Consider the following 18284-nt stretch of genomic DNA (forward strand, 5'->3'; position numbering starts at 1 on the left):
CGTAGGTTGGAGTCCAGTTGTGCAATCTTAGCTCACTGCAATCTCTGCCTCCCAAGTTCAAACCATTCTCCTGCCTCAGCTTCCCAAGTAGCTGGGACTACAGGAATGCACCACCACACTCAGCTAATTTTTGTATTTTTAGTAGAGATGAGGTTTCGCTGTGTTGGCCAGACTAGTCTTGAACTCCTGACCTCAAGTGATCCACCCATGTCAGCTTCCCAGAGTGCTGGGATTAGAGGTGTGAGTCACCACAGCCAGCCTCTAACTTCTTAACCATATATGCACAGACAGATTGCAAACAGATCAATTAAGGGTAAGAGAGCTAAATTGAAATTTTAACTGCCACTCAAGAGGCAGCATTTTCAGTATAAGTTCAAGAAAGTTAATTGTCTGCTAAAACAAAAATAACAAGTCTTCTGAGGAATGTAACAGAATTCAGAGTCTCTACAACCTAACATTTATAAAGTATGGGTTAAAATTCTAAGTTATTCACCATGTAACCATGAAAATGTGATCTCCCAGTTTCCAAAGAAAAAATATAAGCCAATTAACCCTGAGATGATCCAGCTGTTGGATTATCAGACAAGGACTTCATGGCAGCTATAATAACTATGTTCATTAAAGTCAAAGAAAATATGCTTATAATAAACTATTAAAAAACAAACAAATGAAAATTCCAGAACTAAAAAATACAATGTCTTAATGTTAAAAAAAAAAAATCCACTGGATGGGCTTAAGAACAGAATAGAAATGACAGAGGAGTCAGTGGCTCTGAGACTGATCAATAGAAATTGTCAAATCTGAAAAAGAGATACAAGATTTAAATAAATAGGACTTCAGAAACTGTGGGGAAATACACACTTTGTAATCCGAGTTTTAAGATGAGAAGAGAGAGATAACGGGGAAAAATATTTGGAGAAATAATGGCTGTAAATCTCTCAAATTTGTCTAAAGATGTAAATTTATAGATCCAAGAAGTTCAGTGAATCCCAGAGTAAATAGGAAGTAAATCATTCCGTCATAGTCACAATGTTGAAAACCAAACAAGGAGAAAAAAATCTTGACAGCTGCCAGAATAAAAAACGACACATCACATAAAGGGGAATAATAATTAGAAACCACTGGCTTTTCATCAGCACCTATAAAGGCGATGCCCCTGCAGTGGGACAATATCATTAAAGTGCTGAAAGAAAAGAAAACCTCTCAACCCAAAATTCCACATCAAGTGAAAATAACCTCAAAAATTAGAGCAAAATGAAGACTTTTGCAGATAAAAGTAAGCCAAAAGAATATATCATCAGAAGAATTGCACTGTAAGAAATGCTAAAGGAAATTCCTCAGGCTGATGGGAATTGATAGAAAACAGAAAATCGTATCTTAAGGTTGAGATGAACGGGATCTGAAATAACAATTACCCAGGTGAATATTTTCAAATATTTTTCTGTGTATTTCCTTAATATACATATAGTTATAATACACATGGCGACATGGCAACTATGGCACAAATAGGAACACGTGGAGGGGTGAATGGACATACATGGTTGCAAGGCTTTTGCTTCTTATATAGTTGTAGATTTTAACTTCTTTCTCTCAACACTTCCTAGAACAAGTAGACCAAAACCAAAAACCAGTAGAGATTATCTCAACCATCTTGACCTGTATGCCAAATCCCAGATAATATATTTATTTTCAAGTATGCTTGTTGCTTTCACCAAGTCAGTCCATGTGCTTGGCCATAAACCAAGTTCCAATAAATTTAAAAGAATTGCAGTCATATAAAGTGTGTTCTTGGCCCACAGTGAAATTAAATGAAAAGCCAATAACAATAAAATATTTATGAAAATCTCAAAATATTTGGAAATGAGACATATATTTCTAAAAATCCATGCAACAAAGAAGAAATCGCAAGGTAAAATGACAACCACAAAAATTAGTTATTTGAAATAAACAAACAACATAGATAAACCTCTAATTAGCAAGAAAAAAGAGAAAACACAAATACAAAGGGGTTATCACTACTAGAGTGCATACAGACATTCAAATCATAATAAAATAATATTATGGACAAACTATTTCCTGAAAATTCAAAAATGAAGATAAAATAAACCTTGAAGAATATAACCAACCAAAACTGACATAAAATGAAACAAAGTATAAATTACCTTATATCTATGAAAGAAAGTAAATTTGCTATCAAAACCCTTTTTACAAAAGAAGCTCCAGGCCCAGATGGTTTAGCTGGTGAATTTTATCAAATATTTGAAGACAAAATTATAGGCTGGGCATGGCAGCTTACACCTGTAATGCCAGCACTTTGGGAGGCTGAGGCAGGAGGATTGCTTGAACTCAGGATTTCGAGACCAGCCTGGGAAACATAGTAAGACCCCATCTCTACAAAAAATAAAATAATTAGCCAGGCGTGGTGGCATGCACCTGTGGTCCCAGTTAGGAGGCTGGAGTGGGAGGATCACTTGAGCCCAGAAGGTCGAGGCTGCAGTGAGCCAAGATTGTGCCACTGCACTCCAGCCTGGGCAACAGAGTGAGACCCTATCTCAAGAAAATAAATAAATAAATATGAAATAATAACAATCTTACACAAACTCTTTCAGAAAATGGGGGAGGAATAGGGGAAGGGGCCAGAAGTCAAGCAATGCAGACAGCCTCTAGAAGCCAGAAAAGATAAACAGATTCTCAACCTGAAGCTTTGAGAAGAAGGCTGCCAACACCATGATTTTAAGAATTCTGACCTCTGGAAATGCAAGAGAATAAATTTCTGTTGTTTTGAGTCACTTGAAAAAAAAAAAAAAGTAGGCCAGGTGCAGAGACTCACGCCTGTAATCCCAGCACTTTGGGAAGCCGAGCCAGGCAGATTGCTTGAATCCAGGAGTTTGAGACCAGCCTGGGCAACATGGCGAAACCTGTCTCTACTAAAAATACAAAACTAGCCAGGCATGGTGGCACATGCCTGTAGTCCCAGCTACTTGGGAGGCTGAGGTGAGAGGATCACTTGAGCCAGGGAGGTTGAGGCTGCAGTGAGCCAAGATGATGACACTGCACTCCGGCCTGGGCAACAGAGCAAGACCCTGTCTCTAAAACAAACAAACAAAAGATATAAAAAACAAGAAAAAAAAGTAAAGAAAATAAGGGAGAAGGTAACATTTCTCAACTCGTTTTATGAGCCCAGTTCAACTCAAATCTCAACAAAGATTACAATGAAAGCAAATTAGTATATAAGCAAATCAAAGCCAGTAATGCCTAAAACAGAAGCTAACTCTGTCATGACCAAGTTAAATTCATACAAGAAATAAAAGACTGTTTTAACAATCAAAACTCTATGTAATTCAGTTAATTCCAGTTGAAGAGCTCTTCTGAATAGGTGGAGAAAAATGTATTTGACATAATTCAAGATCCATTCACAATACAAACTTTCAGGAAAACAGGAAAAGAACTTCCTCAAACTGATGAAGGGCATGGTTATAGAAATCAGTCAAAGACAACCTCTGTGTGTTGGTCTCTAGGTTGTTTATTTCTTCTGTACTAGATGAGACCTGTTAGCTCAAAGTCTGTCAGCAACAAACTCAAATTTTTGCACATCCAATTATTCTTAAAATGCTTGTTTTAAAAAACAAGCATACGTTCAGCCATTTATATTCTGTGTGCTTCACGTACCCCACGAAACCTCATCCGACAGCTGTTACCTATTGCTCAGATAGGGCCCTGACATTGTAAGCCCTGAAACCACTGCTGCCCTTCAGGGGTTTCTAACAGAGACTCCCCACTATGCTACTGAGCAACATCACCAAGGCACCTGTTTCTGATGCCCTGTCTCTTGCCCTCCTTCTGTGGGTGGCCCCTTACCACAAGCCTCTGGGAGGTCTCATGCTACAAGGGACCTCACCTCTCATTCAACCCTGTCCAAGTGCCACCCAATAAAGTTTTGTGTGTGTTACTGCCACTCATGGTGATATTTTTTTTCTTGATCAGTCCCCAAATCCCTCGAACCCCCTATAAATATCCACAAAAAAAATCTACAGGTATCATCATACTTAACAGTGAATCAATGAATGCTTTTCTGCTATGATTGGGAACAAGCCAAGGATGCCCACTGTGACCACTTCTGTTAAACATTGTACTGAGCAAGGTCCTGGCCACTGCAATAAGGCAAGAAAAAGAAAAGGCATAAAGATCAGGAAAAAAGCAAAAATATTTATATTTGCTAGGTCATAATTATTTATATAGAAACTCCTAAGACATATTCACTACTACTATTAGAATTTATAAGTGACTTTAGCAAAGTTGCAGGATATAAAGTCAATATACAAAACTCAATTGTATTTCTATGTATAAATAACAAGTCATTGAAAATAAAATCTTAAAATTTTTAATTTAAAATAGTGTCAAAAACCACAAAGTATTTAGTAATAAATTTAGCCAAAGAAGAACCTCTACCTTGAAAACTAAAACATTCTTCAGAGAAATTAAAGATCAAAATAAGTAGATAAATCAAGTTCATAGATTGGGGGGAAAAGATCAACATTATTAAGATGTCAATTCTCCCCCAAACCTCTATAAATTCAATGATATTCCACACATAGTTCCAGCAGGTTTGTTGACAGAAACTAGGAATCTTATTCTAAAATACATGTAGAAATATAAAGGAACTAAAATTTCCAAATCATTCTTAATAAAATACCATGAAGTTGGGGGATTTAACCTACCTCATCTCAAGGCCTACTTTAAAGCTACATTAAACAATAAGGTGTGGTTTTGGTGAAAGGATTGCCATATAGATCAACTGAATGAAAAATAGTCCAAAAAAGGACCCACACACATATATGGTCAACTGATTTTCAACAAAAGTCCCAAGGCAATTTGATGGGGCAGAGAAAGTCTTTTCAACAAATGATAATTAGAAAAACTGGATATTCATATGGGGAAAAAATGACCATAAACAATAAATCACACCATAAATAAAAATTCACAGGAAATAGATTAGATCATAGACATAAATGTAAAAGCTAAAACTACAAAATATCTAAAACTTAGGAAGAAATATTTGTGACCATGGAGGTAGGCTAATGTTTATTTGTCAAGTTACAAAAATCACTAAACATAAACGAAAAAATTGATGTTTGTCTCCATTAAAATTCGAAACTTCTACTCAAAAAAAGATACTAACAAGGAAACAAATAAGCAAACCACAGACGGAGAGAAAATATTTGCAATACGTATTATTTGATAAAGGACTGGTTTCTAGGATATAAAATAACTCTTACAACTCAGTAGTAAAAAGGCAAACAACCCTTTTTTTTTAATGGGCAAGATCTTAAAAGTGGATCTATGACTGGCCATAAGTACATGAAGAGTAGATCTCCATCATTAGCCATCAGGGAAATTATGGTAGTCACCAGGAAAAACCTTATGTGTCAATTTAGCTAGGCCACGGTGCTCAGTTATTCAAGAAAACACTTCTAGGTATTGTGAAGGTATCTTGTAGATGGGATTGAGGTCCATGGTCAGTTGACGTTAAACAAGGGAAGCTATCCTAGATAATCTGGGTGGGCCTGGCTCAATCAGTCGAAAGGCCTTAAGAACAGACCTGATGTATTGTGTCCTTTATGAAGAAGAAATTCCATCTGTGGGCAGCAGTTCCTGCCCGTGCCCAAGAGTCTCAGCCTGCCCTTCCTGACTGCCTGCCCCACACATTTCACTTTGGCTGGGCTGCAGAGTGTAAAGATGGGTGATAAGAAGGATGTCGTTTGACAGCCTTCAGGAAATGCTACCAGAGAGGCTGACTCCATCTGAATGATGCTGTACTGTGATCTCCGGACCTATGAGAACTAAGGCAGAAACATCACATACCCTACAACATCTGGGACTGCTGCTCTCACGTGGGTCTCCTGGCACATTAGAGTCACCATCTTCCAAGGGAGGGACTGCATGGAGCTATTCAAGGTGCAGGGGATATTCTAATGCTAGACAGCCAACATCAGACATTTGCTTACACCCATTTCCAGCCCCCAGCCTCCAAGGGGAAGCTCAGGTCTAACTAAGGGGCTCTTTTCCCTTACTTTCCTAAGGGCTGGGATTTACTTGGAGGATGGTGGTCCGGAGACTTATAGTCCCAGGACTGCTCTAGGAAGTGGATTGAATAATTCTCTCTCCCCTCTTTACCACATCTCCTCTCCTTGTTAATTTATTTATCCTACACCTTGTGCCCATCAGAGAAACATCTCGTTTGCTGTTTTGCTGTGACTGAGATCCTGAAAATCACATCAGGTTGCACCAACTCTCAATTCTTAAGGTCCATCTGGTGCCTTTGCTCCCTGGGCACTGATCTGCCTCCAGCCTACTTTCTGTATGAGTTGTCTGTATTCATATTTGTATTGTTCTAGACACACCTCTGGGAAGGTTTCTGCTCACTCCCCATCAAAGCTTGGAAGCCGTGGCAAGGCGGTATTTCATCAGGAATCTTCACTGGGCAAGCCTTCTCTGAGCCTTGCAAGAATGTGGTACTACAAAAGCTTTGCTTTTAATTCAAAGGTTGGGATACCCCCATGCTCCTGGAGGTGGCCTTTTTCACTTTTTTTGTAATTTAAAAAACACACAAAATTTAACCTCTTACAATTTTTAAGTGTTCAGATAAATATTGGGAAGTATATTCACATTGTTTTGCAGCTTTGCTTTTTTTGTTTTTGTTTTTGTTTTTGTTTTTGTTTTTTGAGACGGAGTCTCGCTCAGTCCCCCAGGCTGGAGTGCAGTGGCTCCATCTCAGCTCACTGCAAGCTCCGCCTCCCGGGTTCACGCCATTCTCCTGCCTCAGCCTCCCGAGTAGCTGGGACTATAGGCGCCTGCCACCACGCCCGGCTAATGCTTTTTTTGTTTTTAAAAGTAACTCTGCCATCATGTGGATTTACACATGGTCTGCTGGGGAATGTCATGAGGTTTTAAATCTGTCTCTGGGATTTTTTTGGAGGTACAATCCAACAGACCTATCCACGTTATCAAAAGCCTCTGTGTGTGTTTCTCTGCTGTCAGGATACATTTGAATATAAATAATTCACTTCCTGCCCGGAATCCAAAATGAGATTCTATATATGTGAGTCTTCCCAAAACTCCATCCTTACCTGTAGAACCAAGGAGAAACTGTGCAAGGTGGCAATTACTCCCCACAGTGGAGGTCTGCAACTTTAACTTGCCTATGCATGGCCCTGGTGACAATGCAGAATCCCAAGCCCTGTCCCAAGAGATTTGAATTTAGTGGGCCTGGAGTGGCACCTGTCATTCTGTGTTTTTCACACACTCCTGAGCAGGATGGCAGCAAATCATCCTTGGGGAACCAAAACCTAAGTAGGTGATCAGAGAGGAGATGCCTGCCCACTATGCTTCTCCCCTCTCAGGCCTGAGCCGTGAGCATCCTCAAGTTGAGCCCCAGGAGAATTCAAGGACCTCCAAGATCCAGAGCCTGTTTTGCTTCTTCACTTAGAGGCTTGTAGTCAGTACAGAAGATCCTCTAGGCACTTGTGAGCCTGCCTCACAGGGCAGTCCTGAAGGTAAACTGGATAGAGGGCTTAGAACAGGATCTGGCACACAGTGACAACTCAATTAACGTTAGCCGTTGCTCTCCCCATGACCATGGTCATTGCTGGTGCCATCACTAACACTCCTACCAAGAGATGGCAAGGAGAAGGTTCCTGAGTGACCTCTCCAGCCCCTACCATGTGAGAAAGAGGACCCCACTCTAAGCAGGCAAGAGCTGTGCAAAACAAATTAAAATCATGAGTCTAGCATCAGCACCACACCCCTTCCATCTCATCTCCCTCACACTGGGAGTCTTTTCCAAGCTTCTCATCTCTGCAGGAGCAGCCCAGGCATTTCACCCAGCAGGAGACCATCCTCCACTAAGGTTAGAGGACCCTTCTCCAAGACTGTTTCTCCCTACCTGCCCCTGTAATCTCTAAATCCCCTTCCCGTCATCCCAGACAACGTTCAGCATCCCACTCTGATCCAACCCCCTTCACCAAGTGGAGGCCCTCACCAAGCCCCCTTCTGAAGTCAAAGTGCTGTGAATCTTCCCCAGGACATCAATGACTGTGCTGAGCCTTAGCCCCCTTCCCACTGTTCCCAGCACAGTCCTTCAGCAGCAAGTCAACCTGCATTCCAGGGGCAAATGGCTGTGTCTTGCTCCCCTAGTCTGTGCACAAACAGTAGTCTTTGTCAGAATGTGATGAGGTGGGCATACTGTACATACAGCCAAGCACATAATAGGTGCTCAGTGGAATGAATGGACCTTCATTTAAGCATCCTTGCTTGTGGGCTTCAAAATTCTCTGACTAGAGTATGTGTACTTTAGAGAAACAACTCACGGCAGACCCCCAGCAGTGGCCAGCCTCTCCAGTCAGCGCCTCTGAGGAACGGGGAATGGAGAGGAAGAGCGGCCTGGAGGCAGCAGGAACCCCCTACCCTGTCCGTTCTGACTTGGCCTCGGGTAAAGAGTCACATGTAGTATGGCCTGGCCATACATGTCCCATTACATGACCTGTAGTCACCAGCCGTTTTGCCTCTAATTGATGGTATTTTGCATTTTAGGCCCAATACCTTCTAATAAAAGGATACTGGTTTCATAATGGCTAATAAAACAATGAGAGGTAGGCCAGATGCTACAATCAGGAATAAAATGGGACACCCAATTCTCAGAGTGTCTGGCCAGTGTCTGTTTATCAATGTGCCCACCTGAAAGGAAGAAGTCTAATCAAGCTCACAATTCACCCCTGATTTGCTGTTTGGGGGCAACCAATGAGATAAGGCAGGAAATCTTAACCTCATTCACAATGAAGAGATGAGCGTTGGTGACTTCTTAGTAGTTACCCCATCTGAAAGCTGGCCATCCCAAATAAGGTCAAGTGGTCACACCCTCTTGTTTCTCCCAGCCTGTTAATCTTTCCAGGCCAGAGCGTGTCTCACTCTGAAGACAGGTTTAAATGCACTGCGGTCCTCACAGCCACATCACCAACCTTTTTAGGGGCTGAGAGTTCACACTCCTCTGCCTGGGTATCTGCTGGGAGGATTCTGAGTCCGAGAAGGGCTTGGAGGCCCAGCTTCCTGATGTGACAGAGACAGCAGAGAAACAGTTTAAATGTGTGGTTAAGAACCCACACGTTGTGCACATGTACCCTAGAACTTAAAGTATAATTATAAAAATAAATAAATAAATAAAAATTAAAAAAAAAGAACCCACCTCTGATGCTGGCCTAGCTCTACTGATGGTGGGCACCTCAGCTGTGCTTCAGTTTCTCCTACGCTGTCATGAAAATCAAATGAGTTGACTTAAAAAGTGCTTTGCACACTGTGCAGTAGCGAGTAAGCACTATGGATGTGTCGGCTATCATTACCACCAGGGCTCATGTCTTCTCAGCACCTCTCTCTACATTAATAAGCAGGTTTTATCCCTGTAGGATTGTTAGAAGCAATTTTCTGTGAAACGGGCAATGCCTTGGCTCTCCAAAAATCACAGAACTGTCTGTCTGTTTGATAGTTCTGCGAAATTCTGTACCTGCTTTTTAATAAACTGGAGGCATAATCCAAACCTACTGGGCTTACCATCTCCTGTCACAATATCGAGGGAACCCAGGGGATCTGCTGGGCAGGAGCTTCAGCTAGACAGAGAGTCGGGACCTGATCGCAAAAGGTGGTCATTAGTGGACAGCCAGTCAAACTTACCATTTAACCATGAGTTGGTCAGTAGCCATGCTGTACAGAGTGCAGGTCTGAGGAATGGGGTCGGCTGTGTGGGAGGAGACTTGCTGCAGCCAGTGACTCCGAACAAACCTCCAAGTCCACCTCCTATATCTCCTCTCCTCATTCTTCTTTGACAACCAAAACAAGCATCAGTAACAACTGATGGTTATGAGGCCTGTGCAACACACAGAGAATGTGAGCTCACACCAGGCAGGGGAAAACAGCAGAGAAGCCCTCCTCCCCAGGGAAGGTAGATGCTGTGGCAGGGGTGGGGGTGGGGAGTAGAGAGGGTGAACCCAGCTAGAGCAACAAGGCCAAGCCTTGGCTCAAAAAAAAAAAAAAAGAAATGAAATGAAAAAGAGGTAGAAGAAGGAGAAAGAAAGAATAAAAACTGAAACAAGAAAAGGTGGAAGGAATGAAGGAAGGAGGGAGGGAAGAAGGGGCAGAAAAAAAAAGATAAATTCCTTTATTTGTCCACTTGATTAGACATCAGAATTCAAATAGACAGGGAAAATGCAAAAGCTGCCCTTCACAAAGAGTCACATGGAAATGTAAAACACCCTTGTCTCCTCTAAAATACATGATTCATTGCTCTGTCACTGCAAATGTGTGTGCTGTGTCCACTCGCAGAGAAGCAGGATATATTTGCATGATTTAAATGTCTCCTAGATCTTGTGAATAATAAACTGTGAGCCATTCCACAGGGTCTGAATCATGTTCCCTGGAAACCATTCCTTCATGAGCTAACCCCCATGCCAGGGTCTGAAATTCTCGGAGCCTGTGACTTCTTATTGCTCTGTCCCATTACTCCAGAAAGCAGCAGGGTAAAAACAAATTATGCCCTCTTCCTCAGCAGCTTTCAAACACTGCCAGTACTTGAGGCCACCTCATCATCATATCAAAGGAGTTAGAGCTAGCCCCTTCCCCCAGGGAATGTTAACATTCAGCATCGTCCTGAAAGAGGCATGACAATAAACATCTGAGAGTGATAATTGAGTAAAGTGGTTACAGATGGGTGGCGGAAAATAATGACTTTTTCTAAGTAGCATTCACTGAAATGTGATTATTGTTTTATGATTTTCAAGAGACTTTGACATATGTTATCTCCATTATTTATGTGGTGGGGAAAAACTTCTCCCCTACTTGTATTCCTAGAGCTCGGTATCCAAAGCCAAGATACACACATTTCGCAGGTAATTATTGAGTTGCCACTATGTGCCTGACTTTATTGTAGGCACTGGGAAATATAACAGTAAACAAAGGAGGTAAAAATCTCTCTCCTCGTGGCATTTGCAGACTAGTGGGAAGAGGTAGAAAACAAAAATAAATTAAATATGCAAAATATCAGATAAAGAGCAATGGAGAGAGTGGGTGGGATGGGAGAGGGGTCTTGAGATTTTGAATAGGGGTATTCAGGAAATGCCTTCTTAAGAAAGTGATAGATGAGCAAAGATGTGAAGGAAGAGAAGGAGGAAGCCACACTGCTATACAGTAGGAAAAGCAGGTGCACAGGCCCTGAGGCAGAAGTGTGCCTGGCTGTGTGGGGATTAACAAGGAAGCTAGTCAATGGAGCAAGGGTGGAAGCAGGCAGCGGAACCATTTTGGAGGCAATTGCAACGACCTCGGCTGGATGTGTGGATGACTTGGACAAAAGGGTAGCAATGGAGTTGGCAAGAAGTGATGAGAGTCTGGACTTATTTTGAAGGTAGAATAGGTGAGATTTGCCACAGGAGGGGATGTGGGTTATAAAAGAAATAGAGGCCGGAAAATTGCTTGAACCCAGGAGGCGGAGGTTGCAGTGAGCCAAGATCGCACCACTGCACTCCAGCCTGGGAAACAAAGAAAACCTCCGTCTCAAAAAAAAAAAAAAAAGAAAGAAAGAAAGAAAGAAGTAGAGGAGTCCATCCAAGATGATTCTAAGGTTTGAGGCCTGAGTTATTTGAAGGTTGGCATTGTCATAACAAGGTCTTTGGTAAAGCATTTTAAATAGGAGGAGGCCATGACTCTTGGAGCATGGTAACACTCTCAGGATTGGGGTTGTGGAAGAGGAACAAGTTGAGACCCAGTGCTGGAGATGAATTTCCACCCTTCTTCACCTGTAGGCACCAAAAACATCCCAACACCCCAATTTCATCTCATCCCACCCCCCTTTTTAGTGGTCACTGATTTAAAAAAATTAGTACAATTTATAACGAGAGATATGTAATTTACTTCCAATTAAATGCATAAATGTTAAAACCTTAGTGCAAAGAACTTTGACATTCATATACACCTGTGACACCACCACCCCATACCAGATGTAAAATATTGACTTAATCACAGAAAGTTCCTTCCTGCTCCATGGAATCACACTGTGTGCATGCTTTTGTGTCTGGCTTATCAGCCTTGACTTAATGATTTTGAGAATCATCCCTATTGTTTCATGTATGAGTAGTCCTTCCCTCTTGTCGCTGAGTACTATTCCATGTTTGAATAAATCACAATCTGCCTGTCCATTCATCTATCCACAGGCATTTGGGCTATTTCTAGTTTGGGGCTATTATAAATGTAGCTGCTATGAACATTTGTGCACAGCCATTTTGACAACATAGGTTTTCATTTCTCTCGGAAAAATACCTAGGAGTCAAAATGCTGGTTCATGTTGTAAGTGCACATTTAGCTTTGTAACAAAGTTCCAAATAGTTTTCCAAACTGTTTGAACCATTTTCCATTCCCACCAGCAATGTATGTGTTGCTGTATATCCTCCCGCGGTTTAGTGCTGCCAGTCGCTCTTGTGGATGGGTAGTAGTACCTCATTGTGGCTTTAATTTGCACTTCTAATTCATAATTAGCATTTCGACTACTATAATAACATTGAGTACTTTTCATGTGTATGTTTGTCATCCATATATCTTCTTTAGTGAAATGTTTGTTCAAATATTTTCCCAATGTGTTAATTGGGTTTTCTTTTTATTATTGATTTACATAAAAATATTATATACTTTGAAGATGAGTCCCTTGTCAAATATATTTACTGTGAATATTTTGTCTGTGTCTGGGGATTATCTGCACATTCTTCTTTATTAACATTTATTTTGAAGTAATTTAAGACTTCCAGAAATAGAAAGTAAAATAAGACTTGCAAAAAATAATCCAAAGAATTTCCAAACACCTTTCAGCCAGCACCCATAAATGCTAACGTTTTGCTATGTTGGCTTTGTCAGTATCCTTGTTTCTGTCTTTCATAGATGCACACACACACACACACACAGACATACACACACCAATTTTTTTTTTTTTTTTTTTTTTTGAGATGGAGTCTCACTCTGTCACCCAGGCTAGAGTGCAGTGGAGCAATCTCGGCTCACTGAAACCTCTGCCTCCTGGGTTCAAGCGATTCTCCTGCCTCAGCCTCCCAAGTAGCTGGGACTACAGGTGCCTGCCACCACGCCCGGCTAATTTTTTTTGTATTTTTAGTAGAGACGGGGTTTTACTATGTTGGCCAGGCTGGTCTTGAACTCCTGACCTCGTGATCTGCCTGCCTTGGCCGCCCAAAGTGCTGGGATTACAAGCATGAGCCACTATGCCTGGCCCACACACCAATTTTTTTCTGAACCATTAGAGACTAAGTGACAGAGATGATATTCCTTTATCTCTAATACTTCAAAGAATACTTTCTAAAAACAAGGACATTCTCTTACTGAGCCATAGTACAGTGATCAAAATCAGTACATTAATCGGGATATATTATTATCTAATCTGCAGACCTTGTTCAAAATTCACCAGTTGTCCCACAAGGCCTGTATAGAAAAAAGAAAAAAAATTACCAAGGCCAAAAATCCAAACCAAGATCACACGTTGCATTTAGTTTTTATTTATCTTTAGTCTCTTTTAATCTGGAACAGTTTGTCAGTCAGCCAGTCAATCAGTCTATCTATCCATCCATTCATCCATCCATCATCCATCCATCCATCCAGCCAGCCAGCCATCTATTCATCTATCCATCAATTACTCACTTATTGTCTTTCGCAACTTTGACACTTTTGAAGAGTACATAGCATTTATTTTGTAGACTATTCTGTTCATTTTCTTCATGGTATCTTTTGATTAGAATAAATTTTTATTTTGATTAAGTGTAATTCATTGGGAGTTTTTTTTATTGTTAGTGCGTTTTGTGTCCTATCTAAGAGAATTCTGCCTTCTCTAAACTCATGAAAATTTCTGGATTTTTGTGTCTAGAGTGTTAGGGCTCTCACTTTTATACTTAGGTCTATCTATCATCCATTTTCAATTAATTTTTTATATGGAGTGAGACAGAGATTGAGATTCATCTTTGTTTACCATATCCAGTTGTTCCAGCACCACTTCTTAAGATGAACTTCCTTTCCCCACTGAATTGCCTTCGTATCTTTATCAAAAATAATTTGGCCATACATACATGGTTCTTTTTCTGAAATTTCCATTTTGTTACACTAACCTGTTCCTTATGCCAATACCACACTGTTTTGATTACTATAGCTTTATCATTAGTTTTGAGATCAGGTAATGTAAATCCTCCAATTTTGTTCTTTTTCAGTCTTGTTTTGTCTAATGTAGATCTTTTGTATTTCTGTAAAATTTTGTAACTACTATTTCCTTCTTAACATAGCCTGTAATCGCAGCACTTTGGGAGACCAAGGCGGGCAGATCATGAGGTCAGGAGATCGAGACCATCCTGGCTAACACAGTGAAACCTTGTCTCTACTAAAAATACAAAAAAATCAGCTGGGCATGGTGGCTGGTGCCTGTAGTCCCAATTACTTGGGAGGCTGAGACAGGAGAATGGCTTGAACGCGGGAGGCGGAACTTGCAATGAGCCGAGATGACACCACTGCACTCCAGCCTGGCTGACAGAGTGAGACTCTGTCTCAAAAAAAAAAGATAGCCTGTTGGAATTTTAATTGGGATTGTATGGAATCAACAGATCAATTTTGGAGGACAATATTTTAAAATTATTGAGATTTTATAAACATATGTCATAACATGATAAATCTTTCCATTTATTTAGGTCTTCTTTAATTTCTCTCAGCAATGTTTCACAAGTCTTGCACATAATGACAGTTTTAGTCCTAAGTAATTAATGTATTTAATGCTATTGTAAATGATATTTTTAAAATTTCATTTTCTACTGTTTGTTGTTAGAACATAGTACAATTGAGTTTTGTATATTAACTGTGTACTACAATATTCTAGTTTCATTTTTTGTAGATTACATAGGATTTTCTGCATACACAATCATGCTACCCGTGAATCATGATAGTTATCTTTTTGTCTTCGTTATACCATTTGGATTCTTTTTCTTTTATTTTTTCCTATATTGCACTGGCAATGACTTTCAGTACAATGTTGAATAGAATGTAAAGATTCTATTCTAAATTCAGTCTCTCTAAATAAGAATGTAAAGGATACTTCAGCGCATAGCAGGTATATCAGTTTGGGTCTAATTAAGAGACAGAAGTCACACAATGACTATAAAACAGAAAGTGACTATAAAGGAGAAGGCTAATATGAAGATCATTAAACTATGATAAAAGGTAAGTATAAGATGTAAGAGAACCCTTCATGGCACCCTAGGGCTGAAGGAGAGCAGCCAAAGAAGGATGAACTTGGAATGTGGTCCCCCTCTCCAAGGCCAGCATTCAGACCTTGTTGGAGCAAGCATAGTTGCAGCCCAATGATTGGCAGAGAAGTGTGCTGGTTTGCACAGGCCAGAGCTGGTCTGTAGTTGCTGAGCAGGTAGGAAGCAGCTCTCACCTGGAGTGCAGATGGGTTTGAGTAAGCCACAACCAATGGCCAGCCACACAGGTGTGCAGGGAAAATGGGTGCTCATGTGAATAGGAGCCCTGAGCTGTGGTGTTTGTGTTAGAAGGGCTGCAGCACCAGAAGGTCACAGCAGGCAAGCCTGGGGGAAGCAGGCATAGGAAAGCAGAGGGAGTTGGGGCAGCAGTGCAGGCAGGAGGGCTGTGGCATGCAGGGTCCATGCTGCAAGAGCTGCAGAAAGATGACCACCAGGCCAGGCTGGAGCTGGGAAGTCATGAAGGGACCTTGTGTTCCAGGCATGTGGCCAAGGTGGAGCACTACCAGACATTCTCCCACCTGTGTCATTCGCCAATCTTGCAGTCACCAGAAACAGCAGGAGAGCCCCTTCCTGCTCCGGTGCCACTCCAGCATCCTCTGCTGAGAAAGTTTAACATCATGCTCACTGTAATACTCAAACAAATTCTGTCCATTATTGCAGAGCAGGTATTGAAGATACATTTGGAACTGGGAGACAACAAATTGATAAGTGACATGGCATGGTTGAAGAATGAGGTTTCCTAAGAAATCAAGTATTTGACATGCCCAATATTCTTTTAGAAAATTCTGGAATGAAAGTGAAAAGCAGAATCATTTTTTAATAGATGATGAACCCGATTCCTATGTTAAATTTAACTTTGCTCAAAGTTAAAGAAATTTCAAATGAAACTGTCTAGACCTTATGTCAAAATAAGCCCAATTGTATTAAAGAGTATTAAATTGTATTAAGAATAAAAACACATGGCCGGGCGCGGTGGCTCACGCCTGTAATCCCAGCACTTTGGGAGGACGAGATGGGCGGATTACAAGGTCAGGAGATTGAGACCATCCTGGCTAACATGGTGAAACCCCGTCTCTACTAAAAATACAAAAAAAAAAAAATTGTCCAGCCGTGGTGGCAGGTGCCTCTAGTCCCAGCTACTCCAGAGGCTGAGGCAGGAGAATGATGTGAACCCGGGAGGCAGAGCTTGCAGTGAGCCGAGATCTCGCCACTGCACTCCGGCCTAGGCGACAGAGCGAGACTCTGTCTCAAAAAAAAATAAATAAATAAAAAATAAAAACACATAAAACCACCAAAAAGAGAGTAGATATTATATATGTAGTAGAAGTACGCATTTCTTGGCTTTCAAATATTTGCAAGTCTCTAGAATAAATATTATCGGAACTCAAATAAAAAGGCAAGCAGACTAAAGAAAATATTTTCATAATATAAACCAGGAAAAAGCCTCTGTCAGTATTGCACAAAAAGCTCATGAAAACTGAAAGAAGATCAAAACTTTAATGTAAATGGGCAAAGGACATGAGTAGGTGATTCATAAACAGGACACACAAGTAATAAATATACATAAGAAAATTGTCAACTTTACTACCTCTTGTTGAGATGCAAATTAAAGCTGTAATGGGATACAGTTTATGCATTAAATTTGAAAAAATAAAATAGAATGCTGGCAAAAATAAAATACAGTAGAACTGGTAAATGGTTAATCGCAGTATAAATTGTTTAAACTTCTCTTGAATTCAGATATTCATATCCCTAGGGTAATCCTACTACTGAGACTATAACTGAAGGAAATAATTACAAAAAATAGGGGAAGTTTTGATGCATGTGTTTACAGCAGTCATTTTTAAAAGTGAAAAAGTGGGAACTAATTTAAATGTACATAAAAAAGGTCAACTATGGTGTAAATCACCCTATTAATTATGTAATTCATTTCACCAGGATCATGGTCAGTGACAAATGATTTGGTCATGACCAAAAACCACTGGAAACTAATGCAGCACAATAGGCTATTTCTCAAACTAGAAAGCCTAATTAAAAGCAGAATAATAAAATTATATATTTACATCACTGTTACTATCCCTGTGAAAAAGAATACGTGCATGCGAATGAAAACTAGAAAGTAACAGAAAATATACAATTGATTTATTAGGTTGACTTTCTTATTTTTATTTTTGACAGGGTCTTGCTCTGTCACCCAGGCTGGAGTGCAGTGGCACGATCATGGCTCACTGCAGCCTTGACCTCCTGGGCTCAAGCAATCCTCCCATCTCAGCCTCCCAAGTAGCTGGGAATACAAGTGCACCACCATGCCCACATATTTTTTTTAATTCTTTATTTTTTGTAGAGATGAGATTTCCTTATGTTGCTTAGGCTAATCTCAAACTCCCAGGCTCGAGCGATCCTCCCGCCTTGGTTTCCCAAAGTGCTGAGATTACAGGCATGAGCCACCACGCCCAGCTAATTTTTAAAGTTATATTATGACTAATATAGTGATGTCTGTAAATTTTTTTAAATATGGCAACTAAAATCAAAATAATCCAGGTACGTTGACAGAGAGGAGCTGAGCAAGACTCACCTCTCTTCTATATGATATACTTCTATTAAGTCAGCCTTATTTCTCATTAACTTTTTGCCAATTTTTGTGGAGACACATCACCCTGAGGCTTCGCATCTTACTGAGCGAGTTCTGGTAAGCCACGTCTCCTCTTCCTGTACTTGGGGGGCTGACTTTTTGGACGCTGATACAGAACTTTACATGTGTTCCTGTTATGTCTTTTCTTGGCCTGTATATTTAGTGCATCATTGAAGGCTCTCAAGATTTTTTTGGATTTTGATTTATACTCCTTAGTCACCATATATTCTGAGTGCATGTTAGCTATACATTCTATAACTCCGTATCCATATTAAAATATGCAGGAAACTCCATATGTTCACCCAAGGCCGTGATAA

At 40.5% G+C, this 18284-nt stretch overlaps 1 protein-coding gene across 1 annotated transcript in view, besides 1 other annotated feature; it reads left to right on the top strand.

The window, feature by feature from the left end:
* The window catches only part of VWA3B (von Willebrand factor A domain containing 3B), a 243450-nt gene extending 237036 nt beyond the window's left edge, over window positions 1–6414 (top strand). The window contains exon 29 of the transcript XR_922885.4: window positions 6396–6414. The gene's annotated coding sequence lies outside the window, so the exon portion shown is untranslated. The remainder of the gene's footprint in view (window positions 1–6395) is intronic.
* Window positions 10192–11122: an enhancer, noted in NCBI's record as "OCT4-NANOG-H3K27ac hESC enhancer chr2:98950857-98951787 (GRCh37/hg19 assembly coordinates)". NCBI's record gives its function as "activates a minimal SCP1, AML or CMV promoter by ChIP-STARR-seq in naive H9 embryonic stem cells {active_cell/tissue: H9 hESC(naive)}" and the evidence as "EXISTENCE:reporter gene assay evidence [ECO:0000049][PMID:30033119]".

Source organism: Homo sapiens, chromosome 2 (assembly GCF_000001405.40).
Source record: "Homo sapiens chromosome 2, GRCh38.p14 Primary Assembly".
Classification (NCBI taxonomy): domain Eukaryota; kingdom Metazoa; phylum Chordata; class Mammalia; order Primates; family Hominidae; genus Homo; species Homo sapiens.